The sequence below is a fragment of the Homo sapiens genome, chromosome 6 (assembly GCF_000001405.40).
Source record: "Homo sapiens chromosome 6, GRCh38.p14 Primary Assembly".
Lineage (NCBI taxonomy): Eukaryota > Metazoa > Chordata > Mammalia > Primates > Hominidae > Homo > Homo sapiens.
The window spans coordinates 35,846,847-35,861,229 of NC_000006.12; the positions used below are offsets into that span (position 1 = coordinate 35,846,847).

Consider the following 14,383-nt stretch of genomic DNA (forward strand, 5'->3'; position numbering starts at 1 on the left):
AGTAACAGCAATCTGTCTCAAACTGCCCCTGCTACTGCCAAAAAAAGACAAAAACCATATGATCATCTTATTAGATGGAGAAAATGCATGTGACAAAATTCAGCATCCTTTCATGATAAAAATGCTCACACAATTAGGTATAGAAGGAATGTACCTCAACACAATAAAGGCCATATTTAAGAAGGCCACAGCTAACATTGTACTCAATGGTGAAAAATTGAAAGCTTTTCCTCTAAAATCCAGAACAAGACTCTCCCCACTTCTATTCAACATAGTATTGTAGTATTGGCAGTCCTTACTAGAGCAATTAAAAGGCAGCCAAACAGAAAAGAAAGAAGTACAAATGTCAGTTAGCTGATAACATAACTTTTTTTTGGCAAGATGGAGTCTTGCTCTGTCATCCAGGATGGAGTGCAGTGGCACAATCATGGCTTGCGGTAGCCTCAACTCCGGGGCTCAAGTGATCCTCCTTCCTCAGCCTCCCAAGTAGCTGAAACTACAGGTATGTGCCACCACATCTGGCTAATTTTTTCATTTCTTTTGGTAGAAATGGGGTCTCGCTATGTTATCCAGGCTGGTCTCAACTCCTGAGCTCCAGTGATCCTCCTGCCTCAGCTTTCCAAAGTGCTGGGATTACAGGCATAAGCCACCAAGCCTGGCCTGACATGATCCTATATATAGAAAACCCTAAAGACTCCAGCAAAAACCCGTTAGGACTAATAAACAAATACAGTAAAGTTGCAGGATACAAAATCAACACACAAAAATCAGCAGCATTTCTGTAAACTAACAACTATCTGAAAAATAAACCAAGAGAACAATCCCATTTACAATAGCTACAAAAAAAAAATACTTAGAAACATATTTAACCATGGAGGTAAAAGACCTGTACACTGAAAACTATAAAATGCTGATAAAAGAAATTGAAGACACAAATAAATGAAAATATATCTTATGTTCATGGTTTGGAAGATTTATTTTTATTTTATTTTTTTTTTTGAGAGAGGGTCTTGCTCTGTGATCCAGGCTGGACTGTAGTGGTGTAATCTCGGCTTACTGTAACCTCTGCCTCCCAGCCTCAGGTGATTCTCCCACCTCAGCCTCCCAAGTAGCATGCACCACCACACTTGGCTAATTTTTAAATTATTTGTAGAGATGGGATTTTGCCATGTTGCCCAGGCTGGTCTCACACAATCCATCTGCCTTGGCCTCCCAAAATGCTGGGACTACAGGTATGAGCCACTGTGCCCGGCCTTACTATTGTTAAAATGTCCGTACTACTCAAAGTGATCTATCAGATTCAATGCAATTCCTATCACAATTCCAATATTATTTTTCATAGAAATAGAAAAAACATCCTAAAATTCACATGGAATCACAAAACATCCCAAATAGCCAAGGCAATCATGAGCACAAAGAAGAAAGCTGGGCTGGGCATGGTGGCTCACGCCTGTAATCCCAGCACTTTGGGAGGCTGAAGTGGGCAGATCACTGGAGCTCAGGAGTTTTGAGACCAGCCTGGGCAACACAGGGAGACCCCACCTCTACAAAAAATACAAAAATAGTTGGATGTGGTGGGGCACACCTGTAGTCCCAGCTATTTGGGAGGCTGAGATGGGAGGATCACTTCAGCCCAGGAAGCGGAGGCTGAAGAGAGCTGTGATTGCGCCACTGCACTCCAGCCTGAGTGACAGTATGAGACTCTGTCTCAAAACAAGAACAAAGCTGGAGGCATCAAACCACCTGATTTCAAACTATACTACAAAGCTACAGTAATTAAAACAGCATGGTCCTGGCAAAAAAAGCAGACGCATAGACCAAAGGAACAATATAGAGAGCCCAGAAATGAACCCACGCATGTATGGTCAAGTGATCTTTGACAAAATTGCCAAGAATACAGAATGGGAAAAGGATAGTCTCTTCAATAAATGGTGTTGGAAAAACTGGATATAAAAAGAATGAAACTGGACCACCCTCATCTCACTCCGAATACAAAAATCGAAATGGATGAAAGACTTAATAAGACCTGAAACTGAAAAACTACCAGAAGAAACAGGGGGAAACCCACATGACATTGGTCTGAGCAATGATTTTTTTGGATTTGACCCCAAAAGCCCAGGGAGCAAAAGTGAATACAGACAAATGGGATAACATCAAACTAAAAAACTTCTGTACAGCAAAGGAAACAATAGTGTGAAGAGATAACCTATGGGTTGGGAAAAAATATTTGCATGCTATACATTTGATAGGGGTTAATATCCAAAATAATATGGAACTCAACTCAATAGCAAGAAAACAAACAAACAAACCCAATTAAAAAACAGGCAAAGGACCTAAATAAACATTTCTGAAAAGAAGACACACAAATGGCCAACAGATCTATTAAAAAAAAAGCTCAACATCACTAATCATTAGGGAAATGCAAATTAAAACCAAAATGAGATATCATTTCATATCTGTCAGAATGGCTGTTATCACAAAGACGAAATATTTAGTGTTGGTGAGGATGTGGAGCAAAGGGAAGTCTTGAATGCTGTTGGTGGGAATGTAAATTAGTACAACCCTCATGTAAAACTATATGGAGGTTCTTTAAAAATCTAAAAATAGAGTTACCATATGATCCAGCAATCCCACTTCTGGATATTTACCTCAAAGATTTAAAATCAGTTTGTCTAAGTGATGTCTGCATTCCCATGTTCACTGCAGCACTATTCACAATAGCCAAGTTATGGAATCAACCTAAGTTGATTTTAAAATCAATCTAAGTTGAGTCTATACAGATCAGATAAACAGACAATAAAATGTGGTATATACAGGTTGCTCCAAAATCCAAAACTGACATGACACGCAAAGGAAATGCTCATTTGGAGCATTTCAAAGTTTAGATTTTTGGATTTGAAATGTTCAGCCAGTATGTATTCTGCAAATATTGCAAAATCTAAAAAATTCCCCAAACTGAAACTGGTACCAAGTGTTTCAGATTAGGGATATTCAACTTGTATACACAATGGAATGGAATACTATTCAGCCTTAAAAACAAGATGGAAATTCAGTCATTTGCAGTGACATGGATGGAACTGGAAAACAATATGAAGTGAAATAAGCCAGGGACAGAAAGACAAATACTGCAACACTCTCACTTATATGTGAAATCTAAAACAATTTAACTCATAGAAGCAGAGAGCAGAATGGTGGTTACAGAGACTGGGGGGTGAAGATAATCGGGAGATGATTAAAGAGTTAAAAAAGAAAAAAAAGGGAAAAAGGAAATTTAGTTTTAACTATAACGATGTTTCTAGAAACATCTGACGAGTACATTCGTACCTCATTTCTGTTACTAATCATATTTAATTGCTCAAATCATGAAGATACTAAGTTGAAGGTGGCTTTGAAACTCATTTCAAACCAGATATGCCAAGTTTTGTTCAAATTTTGTTTAGAAGTCTACTTACTGCTCGTCTTAGATATGGAGAAGTAACATAATTAAGTAACCAGTCCTGGTGTTTAGTGCTCTGCAAACAACCAACAGCAGGGGAATGAAGCAAACGAAAGATGTCTTAACAGCAAGGAAGCAATGTTTCAGCACCAGAAAGGCCAAAAGAGGGTTACAATAGCCACAGATCAAAAAGGAAGGTTGGGAAACTCCAGAGTTCAGTTATTAGCTTTTTTGTTGTTACTAAATACATTCTACCACTCACTTCCAGCTTTAAAAGTAGAGTTTTTCCAGTCTTAACACAGCTGTAAATTATATTAATCAAAGCAAATAAATGGTTCTATATCAAAGATGTACGTAAGAATTGCCGAAGAACTTTTCCAAAATGCATATGTCTACTGCACATATCCCTTTCCTATTTAAGAATCATAGACAATTTCTCTGCCTCATATAGAAAGCAAACAACAACAAAAAAAACCCCATGTATCTCAGGGAGTGACAAGTTCTATGTGACAAAGAAAAGTGATAAAGTGGGGGTTATTTCAAATAAAGTAGTCAGGAAGACATCTCTAAAGAGATTATGTTGAACAAAGACCTGCATTAGGTGAAGGAGAAAGCACATCCAAAGGTCCAAGGTAAGTATGAGCTTCACAAGACTAGGGAAAGAAAATAGGATTTTGAGTGGAATAGATGCAATTAAAGGATTTAAAACGGGGAAGTAATATGATTTGATTAACACTTAAGACCACTCAGGCCACTATGTGATAATGTAACATGAAGGGAGAAAAACAGAAGCAGAGAAAGGAAATTAGGAGGTCACTGTATTGATCCATTTGCGAAATGATGATGGCATGGGCTATAATGAGTTAATGGAAAAAGTAAAAAGTGGTTGGTATTGGATTTTTTTTTTCTTTTTTTTTTGAGACAGGGTCTCACTCTGTCACCCAGGCTGTGGTGCAGTCTTGGCTCACTGCAATCTCTGCCTCCTGGGTTCTAGCGATTCTCGTGCCTCAGCCTCCTGAGTAGCTGGGATTTCAGTTGCACGCCACCACCCCAGCTAACTTTTGTATTTTTGGTAGAGACAGGGTTTCACCAGGTTGGCCAGCCTGGTCTTGAACTCCAGATATCAGGTGATCCACCCACCTCAGCCTCCCAAAGTGCTGAGATTACAGGCATGAGCTATTGTGCCCAGCCGGTATTGGATATATTCTGAAGGTAGAACACATAGAAACAGCTGATGGACTAGGTGTAGACAAAGGAAAAAGAATTAAGAATTAACCTAAAAGGTTCAGGTTCTAAGCTTTTAGTCTGAATGGCTGGGTGAACAGGGGGATAATTTACAAAAACAGGATGTGTAGGGTGAAACAAGCATTCTATTTTGAAAATGTTACATTTGAGATATTTATCAGATATCCAAATGGAGTCGTCAAGCAGACAGTTGGACATAAAAAGTTGGATTAAGTATAGAGATGAACTGAGGCTAGAGACATCATGGGACTTGATGAAATCCCCCAGGAAGAGAGGAGGGCCAAGGGCTGAGTCCTTTTTCAATTAAGAGGAAGGGCCTATCTATTTAAGTTCTCATTAATTGGTATAAGCAAAAAGTAAACAATAAGGGCAAGGCACTGCTATAGACTTAAAGCTTTAGTTTTTCTTCGGTAATCAAAGCATGCCTAAAATAAATATGCCAACATACAGTTATATGAACTGACATGTACAAGCTATGAATGAGACTATCTTGCCCCAGCGATCTAGGGCACCCTGGCTGGTGAAAGCTGAAAGCCTTCCTCTCAATTGTGTGCTATTCAATGGGGTTACAATGAAGGTCCTACAGTTAATTAACTATAACTCCATCATTCCTGGGGAACAAATGCTTGCCTCTCTCAATTCCTCCTGCTTCTTTCCCTGTTTAGAATGTCTGACTTGGGGAGCTGTGCATTTAATCACTCCCATCTCTTGAATACAGCAAATACCCAGCTCTCCTTTACCTTCACTGAGAGCAATGCCTGGGATTCTGCACATACCAACTGCAGGGATCTACTGTAAAGACACAGGTCCTAGTGATTTTATTACAGAACTGTGAAAGAGATGAGATTATACTCTGTTTTTTTGGTGTTTGTATTACCTCTGTTTAGCGGAACACTGGCAGCAAAAACAAGTAAACAAAAGCAAACCTATAGCTTTCATTGTATAGGATAAGGAAATTGTACAAAAAGAACTCAAAATATTACTTACTAAAATGGCATTCAAAATCCAGCCTCCAGTGACTTACTGCTGTTGAATAAAGGTGACAATCTTTGGTGAAATCTAAAGAGCTATTGTGCATAGTGCTAGAAGTTATAACCACCTGCAGACATTTCTGCCGTTTCATTCGGGCAGCTCAGATTGGGAATTGGTGATGATGGAGAAAGAGCTCTTGGGTCAAATTACTACACTTTGGATTTTGATAGTTTAAGGATTTTAGTAGCCTTAAGAGTTCTAGACAGACAAGACAGTTATGGATAAACCCCTTTGGATCCCATTTCTGAAAGATTCACTCCCTTACTGAAACACCTGACCAAGAATTAAGTTAGTCAGCCCTGGGTGTCTGCAGGTTCCACATGCTCAGATTCAACTGACTGTAGATTGAAAATATTCAGAAACAGCAACAACAACAGCACAATAAAAATACAAGTAAAGGACAGGCACAGTGACTCATGCCTGTAATTCCAGTGCTTTGGGAGGCTGAGGTAGGATGATCGTTTGAAGCTAGGAGTTTGAGACCAGTCTGTGCAACATAGCAAGACCTGGTCTCTACAAAAAAATTTAAAAATGAGCCGAGTGGGTGGCACATGCCTATAGTCCTAGGCATGTGCCCATATACTCGTTGGCGGGGGGAAGGGGCAGGGCACTGAGGTGGGAGGATCCCTTGAACCCAGGAGTTTGGGGTTATATTGAGTTATGATCACACCACTGCACTCCAGCCTGGGCAACAGAGCAAGACCCCATCCCTAAAAAACAAAATGAAACAACAACAACAAAAAAAAGAAGTTAAAAAAATATGGTATAACAACTTTACATAGCATTTATATTAGGTATTATAAGTAATCTAGAAACAATTTAAGTACACAGAGGCCATATGGTTATATATGTTATATGCAAACACTATGCCATTTTATGTAAAGTACTTGAGCACCTGTGGATTTTGGTATCTGCAGGGGGTCTTAGAACCAATCCCCTGAGGACATTAAGGGATGACTGAATATTCTCTAGTTTTTTCCCTAATCTTTCCCTTGATTAGTAATTGGCCAACTTCTGGGGTTTATGAAGACATGCACTTCACCCCATGTCCTAAATATGTGTAGCTATACTCCTAGAACCTCTCACAAGTGCCAGTGGGAGTCCTACAAATCCTGCCCTGAATTTCAGAGAGCAAAAGGTGAAGAAAAGGAACATATCCCAGAAAGCAATCACTTCAGAAGAGGAATTTACCAGAAAAGGAAGACAACTGGGGACTACAAACATACTTTCCCACAGTGGGAGGAAGGGCATTCAAAGGCCAGAGAAGAAGATAATCTCATCCTGCCAGTTATGGTCCTACCTGTCCTGACTCCAGCATTCGGAGATTGTTTTTTTTTTTTTTGAGACAGAGTCTCACTGTTGTGTTCTTCACAAATATTTTCCCCTTTCCCCCTTTTTTTTGTTTTTTTGAAATGGAGTCTTGCTCTGTTGCCCAGGCTGGGGTGCAGTGGTGTGATCTCAGCTCACTGCAGCCTCTGCCTCCCAGGTTCAAACAATTCTTGTGTCTCAGCCTCCTGAGTAGCTGAGGTTACAGGCATGTGCCACCATGGCCAGCTAATTTTTGTATTTTTAGTAGAGACAGGGTTTCTCCATGTTGGCTAGGCTAGTCTCGAACTCCTGGCCTCAAGTAATCTGCCTGCCTCAGCCTCCCAAAGTGCTGGAATTACAAGTATAAGCCACTACACCTGGGCCCCCTTTTCCCTTTTTATAACTGCCCTTCTAACTATTCCTCAATCATCAATGTAGAGGCAATCTCAACTTGTTCCATCTCATTACCTCTCAGAGAGGGTCCTAATCTTTCCATCAATTAATTACATTGGATGCAGGATGATCCATCTCTTCAGGCACTTCCGATATTCCAGAATTTTTGCTCTATGATCAAATTTAAAGCAACATTTTGTTTTTCTATGTCGACTGGCAAAATAAAAACTTGAGGATCAAATGGGGCTCAATTTTTCATGATATTGTCTCATGTCAGGTAAGTACTTCCATTCCTTGGTCAAGAAAATTCTGACATGTGAGTGGGTCCAGAACTATGAGGTGAGATTAATTACGCCTTTATCTTTCAGCCTTACTTCTTAAGCCTGACATTAGAAATACTTTATTAAATATCAAGCAGGATCTACTGCCCCCCAAACAAAACAGAAATGTGGAATAAAAAAAAAATGTCATTTTCTTACAGTAAACAACTAATCCACTACTAAAAACTACATCTTAGCAAATCCACATTTTAATAAATCAGATGCCATCTATTAACCAGCTACACTTTATAGTTGGTGGCATCTCTATCATTTATGATTTTCTATAGCAAATCAACTCAAATAAAATTCCTCAATAAGCAAAGCTTTAAAGTGTGGCAAGAAAGAAGCCTGAGATTTTATTCCAATATTCTCTCATTTTGTGCAACAATATTAAAACCTTACTTCAGACAGTTCACCAGCTTTACAGACCAATGATATGGGCCCAGCGCGGTGGCTCACACCTGTAATCCCAGCACTTTGGGAGGCAGAAGTGGGCGGATCACAAGGTCAGGAGATCAAGACCATCCTGGCTAACATGGTGAAACCCCGTCTCTACTAAAAATACAAAAAAATTAGCCAGGCATGGTGGCGGCCACCTGTAGTCCCAGATACTTGGGAAGCTGAGGCAGGAGAATGGCGTGAACCTGGGAGGCGGAGCTTGCAGTGAGCCAAGATTGCGCCACTGTACTCCAGCTTGGGTGACAGAGCAAGACTCCATCTCAGAAAAAAAAAACAAACAAAAACCCAATAATATGCCACAACAAAGTGCTCTATAAGGTCATGCCACATTAACAACATGATATCATCTCTATTAGCTTTGAAGACAAAGTTTTTCAGGAATGCAGACAGCAAGAAATCTATGACTTAAAACAGGTTGGAATTGTTATCTGCCCTCTTTCTCAAGTTTTTCCCAGAGTTGCCTGTGAATATTAAATGTTACTTGAAATGAGAGCATAATATGTTTCTGTTTATTCATTAGGTAGTATACAAATATTTATTAAACCCTGTTGAATAATGAAGAAATTGATCTATGTCCCTTTTTCCTGGTAGGAAGTCTCTAAACCCTTGGAATTTCCAAGTGCTAGGTGTCTTTATCCATGGTGGGTCCCTTGGACCATATCTAAGTTTATATTAACAAAGTGACTCATGTTGGGGCCCTATATAGTTGGTTTTTTCGATGTTTCATTCTTGTTGCCTAGGCTGGAGTGCAATGGTGCGATCTTGGCTCACTGCAACCTCTGCTTCCCAGGTTCAAGCGATTCTCCTGCCTCAGCCTCCCAAGTAGCTGGGATTATAGGCATGCACCACCACGTCTGGCTAATTTTTAGTAGAGACAGGGTTTCATCATGTTGGTCAGGCTGGTCTTGAACTCCTGACCTCAAGTGATCCACTTGCCTTGGCCTCCCAAAGTGCTGGGATTACAGGCACGAGCCACCGTGGCCAGCCCCTATATAGTTTTAGATGAAAGTTGGACATACGGGAAAGACCAACCACATGATCAGAAGACTGGGGCTTTCCAACTTCCCAACCTCCAGGGAAGGGAGGGAAAGCTTGAAGACTGAGCTCAATCACATGGCCAATGATTCAATCAATACCTAATTAATTACATCTCAATAAAACTCTGAATACTTGAAGCTTGGGTGAGCATCCCTCGGTGGTGACACACATCAATGTGCCAGGAGGGTGAAAGTCCTGAGGACACAGAAGCTTCACATTTAGTACGCTCTCAGACTTTCCCCTATGTGTCCTGATTTGTATTCTTTATAATAAAACTATAGCAAGCTTAGCACTTTCTGAGGGGGTAATGCAAACCTCTTAATTTGTAGCCAGTTGATTAGAAGTGCAGGTGGCTTGTGGATCCTGAGGCTTGTGGTTAGTGTCTGAAGTGAGGGCAATCTTGTGAGGAACCATGCTCTTAACCTATGAAGTCTGTGATAACTCTGGGTAGTTAGCATCAGAATTACATTGTAAGCAATCACCCAAAATGTGTCAGGCAATGAATCCAGACAGTTATACATAACAGCCATGATTCCTGACAATATGGGGCTTACAACATAGAAGAGAAACAAGTAAACAAACACGATTAGAAATTGTGGTGATTAAAGATATTAAGGAGTATAATACATTTTAAGAAACAATGTAACACATTCCAACATGAGGATATTAGTAGGAAATCATTTATCATCAACTAAATCTGACCACTGGAACAGTTGCTTGCCAGAGGCAAAATAGCCATTTATGAATCTATGAATGATTGGGATTCACATCTTGGGAGCTGCAAAGGTATCTGAGGAGCTGCTGAATTGTACAAAATGAAGCAGTTTCCAGGGGTTTCTTTGGTCTGAAAATAGATGAGTGCTAAAAATGCAAAGATACTTGTAATCTCCTAATCAAAACCAACAACACCTCTTAGTAGTTGTTTTCATTATTTCCCCCCACTAACAATCTGTAGTAAGAAACTTTTGGTTCCTTCACCTAACAGGAACTTAGCAGTAACCAAATGAAATGCCAGACAGGTTTTTGAATTCGGACCTCTCTAGACATAGAATTTAGAATACCTATGGTAAATCATCTGTGTTACGTTCTTTTCTGCTAGTTAATTTGCTGGTTTACTGAAATTAGCAAACAGGGCAAGATATGTACCACTTAACAAGTGAAAGCCAAGGGGAAAAAACATTACCATGCATGCCGTGCTCCAAATGTCAGCAGGGGTATTATAGCCAGATCCGATTAGAACTTCCAAGGAACGATATTGCCTTGTTTGAATATCTTCAGTGAAATGTTTGTGCTGAGAAAATGAAGGAAACAATATTTTAAACTTCATTCTAAAAAGTAACAAGTCAATACTGCTTAATAATGGAGATGAAAATAAACTCTCTGAAGTTTTTCCCAAACCAAAGTTCTCACTTTGCTTATTTCTTAAACAGCATTTTTATGTTATTAGCTCCAACAATCCTTTGCCTTACACACAGCTACTCCAAATTATTTTTACAAACAAATGAGCCTAAACTTAATATACACAGGTCTAGGAAACAACAACAGCTTTTTTCTTTTTAAAAATTGTTTTAGTAAAGATGGGGTCTCGCTATGTTACCCATGCTGGACTCAAACTCCTGGGCTCAAGTGATCCACCCACCTTGGCCTCCCAAAGTGCTGGGATTACAGGCGTGAGCTACCACACCAAGGAATCCAAACTCTTTAACCTTGCAATTTACTATACTTGTCTTTAATAAGTATCTTTCTGTGCCTTTATTGGGATGTTGATGTTCTACCTAGAGTATTTTTTGCTCTTTTGGTCAAATTTCATCTAGTACCCTTTGAAGCCCTGGTGTATACTAGTTTTCTACCTGAAGTTTTCTCTGAGTAATTTCCTCTTTTCACAAATACTGTTCCCTGTTTTTAAATTTCAATAGGATTAGAGAATTGTCTTCCACACTTTCCTATCACATTTGAATATTTGAATTTTGTTTCCTGTATATGACTCATACTAAGCTTCTTTTTGTCCTTCATTATTCATTTATTTTTTATCATGGAAAATTTCAAATATATACAAAAGTAGAAAGAATCATGAACCCCATGCCATTTATTATACTAGTGTCACCTAGCAATTACCACTCATTGCCAGTCTATTTTCAACTGTATCCCAACCCTGCCACCACACCTACACCAGATTTTGAAGTACATACTAGACATTTTCTTTTCATTCATAAATATGGCTTTCTGAAAGATCATTCTTTTTAACTGTGACACTTTGTCACCTAAAAAAAAAAAATTAAGATGCAAAACCAAAGAATCAGAGTTTCAATGTTGAAAGTGCACATCAAATTTTTAGTATAAGAGGTGAAAACAGGCTGAGTGAGGCATATCACTATGAAATTATCTTACAGACTTCCACTGGGGGAAAAGTTTCATATAAAGATCAAGAATCAGAATGGCATCGGTCTTTAGTACCATCAAAACTGGAAACTATAAAACAATGGAGCAACGACATTCTGAAAGAAAATGTTTTCTAACCTAGAATTCTCTACAAAGCCAACTGAGAGTGAAAGCAGAATAAAGACTATCAGATGTGCAAATCCCACCCTTCCCCCACCCAATCTCATACCCTTTCTCAGGAAACTATTGCTTGTTGCATGTACTCTACAAAAAAGATGACATAAACCAAGAAAGATAGGAGACACGGAAAACAGGGGACATATATATAGAGAAAACAATAAATCTCCAGGATGATGGTGAAGGGAAATCCCAAATGACGTAATGTAGCAGACCTATAGGGCAACCCAATCAGATCAATACAGATTAGAAGACTCCAGGTTCTAGGACACAGCGCTTTAGAAAGATAATAGTAGAAAGAACACTCAATGTATCTGTACATATTAAAGTGTATTTACAACACTGGGTAAAAGTATGGGATTGAATTAAGTGATCAACAGTACAAAGAAAACTAAGCAAGTGAAACATGTTATGTAGAAAGGAAAAGGAACCATAATATATGCTCAGTTCAGCTGAGGATAGCCTTAGAGTCTCAATGATATAAACATGGTATGATCATGTAGCCAAAAATTAGATTACATTGGGGAAATGAGGAATTCGTGCTGTGGTGCTAGATAAGCCCCATTTTCCGGGAGGAAAAAAATAATATGTAACACTGAAAACAAAATTGGATTAATATAACCTGTTATTTATTAGTGATATAAAGGTAAATACTGTTAAGGGGAGTGAAAAACTGGTGAAAGAAGTAGGCAGATTTTTAAATAAAAGCTTATATAACTGTCTCCCCCACTGTGTACACGCATGATTGATAAGCAAAAAAAGAAAAAAGAATAAAAAGCTTAGTACAGTGGTCCATCAGTGTACTTCAGGGATTAGTTTCAGAATCCCCCGAGTATAAAATCTGTGCATACTCAAGTTTCACAGTTGGCCCAGAACTCAAATATACAAAAAGCCAGCCCTTCATATATGTGCATTTCACATCCCTTGAATATTGTTTTCGATCCTTGTTTGGTTAAAAAAATCTGTGCATAAGTGGACTTGTGTAGTTCAAACCTATGTTGTTCAAAAGTTGACTGTATGTTTAATAATACAGCTCGTTAAAAATTATGTAAAATTCCATTACTGAATGCCAGATGCTGATGTGCTGAAGAGATCAAGAAGTGAGATCCAATCTGAATTCAATGGGGTGCAACACACATGTATTGTTCACCGCTGTGTCCTAATGCCTACATCAGAGTATGTGCCAGCATGTTTGCTGAATGAGTGAATGGCTGAAAAGAACGTAGTCTTTTTTTTTTTTTTTGAGATGGAGTCTCGCTCTGTCACCCAGGCTGGAGTGCAGTGGTGCGATCTTGGCTCACTGCAAGCTCTGCCTCCTGGGTTCACGTCATTCTCCTGCCTCTGCCTCCCAAGTAGCTGGGACTACAGGTGCCTGCCACAACGCCTGGCTAATATTTTTTTTTTGTATTTTTAGTAGAGACGGGGTTTCACTGTGTTAGCTAGGATGGTCTTGATCTCCTGACCTCGTGATCCGCCTGCCTCGGCCTCCCAAAGTGCTGGGATTACAGGGGCGAGCCAAGAACGCAGTCATTTTAAATGCAGAGACACTGCTATGGTTTGAATGTTTGTCCCCTTTGAAACTAATATTGAAACTTAATGTCCAATGTTAACAGTACTAAGAGGTGAGACCTTTTAGCCTTTAAGAGGTGACTGGGTCATGAGGGGGTCTGCCTTCATGAATGGATTAATGGGTTATCACAGGGTGTGAATGAATTAACAGAGTAGGCTTGTTATAAAAGTTGAAGAGAGATTAATTCTGTTGTGATGTAAGTAACAGAAGACTCCACCGGAATAAAGTGTGCCACATAGGTAAGAAAACACACATGAAGGTGTTCCAAACATAAAGGCACCAGAGCCTGAAACATGGTGTGGGCAGGAAATTGGCAAGCATTTGATGTTTGTACGGTGTGATACTTGTTACAGAGTCAATACGTTTCTCCACAATTTACTTGCTAAAATATTTATTGAGTACCTACTCTGTACCAGGCACTGTTCTAAGTACTAAATATAGATACAGTGGTAAACCAGAAAAACTTTGTTGTGATATGATGTACATTCTAGTGAGAGGCTTATTAAGCAAATAAACATATAATATTAGATTGTGTTAAGTGTTGTGGAGAAAAAAAAAGTTACAGGGAGAAAGGAAGAGTGAGCAAATACCTGAGTGAATATGATAAAGGTATAAGTGTTTGGAGAGTGGCGGTTTGCTAATTACATTAGGTGTTCAGGGGAAGAGCTCCCTGATAAGTGACATCTGGGTAAGAACTTAAAGAAATTGAAGGAGTTGTACGTGAAGAGGATTCCAAGCAGAAGGAAGAGTAAGCTCTCTTTGCTTGGTGGTGTGTGGGCCATGGTAAGGACTTTGGTATTCATTCTGAAGGGAGCCACTGCAACGTTTAGCGAATATATGACTTGACTTACATTTAAAATGGCTGACTAGACACAGGTAGTATGTGCCTCATCCACAGAAAGGAACCAGAACAGTCAGAAGATACCCACATTTTGAACAGATTGTCCAGGAAGGAATGCTAAGATTCACCAGAGAAGTGATAGGAAGCACCAGAAGGAAAGGGTCTGAGGAAGCTGGCATGGGCAT

General features: G+C 39.3%; 1 protein-coding gene and 1 long non-coding RNA gene across 3 annotated transcripts in view; both read right to left on the reverse strand.

Moving 5' to 3' along the window:
• The window catches only part of SRPK1 (SRSF protein kinase 1), an 88,133-nt gene that overhangs the window by 13,881 nt on the left and 59,869 nt on the right, over window positions 1–14,383 (reverse strand). For both annotated transcript variants that reach the window (NR_034069.2, NM_003137.5), the window contains exon 13: window positions 10,415–10,522. Coding sequence is in view for 1 of the 2 variants with exons in the window: in NM_003137.5 (NP_003128.3) it covers window positions 10,415–10,522 (108 nt within the window). In the remaining variant the exon portion in view is untranslated. The remainder of the gene's footprint in view (window positions 1–10,414; window positions 10,523–14,383) is intronic.
• LOC124901311 (uncharacterized) lies at window positions 958–10,333 on the reverse strand. Its single transcript, XR_007059563.1, has 2 exons — window positions 9,547–10,333; window positions 958–7,585 (listed from the first exon to the last, which is right to left on the reverse strand). It is a non-coding gene; the product is annotated as an uncharacterized LOC124901311 (long non-coding RNA).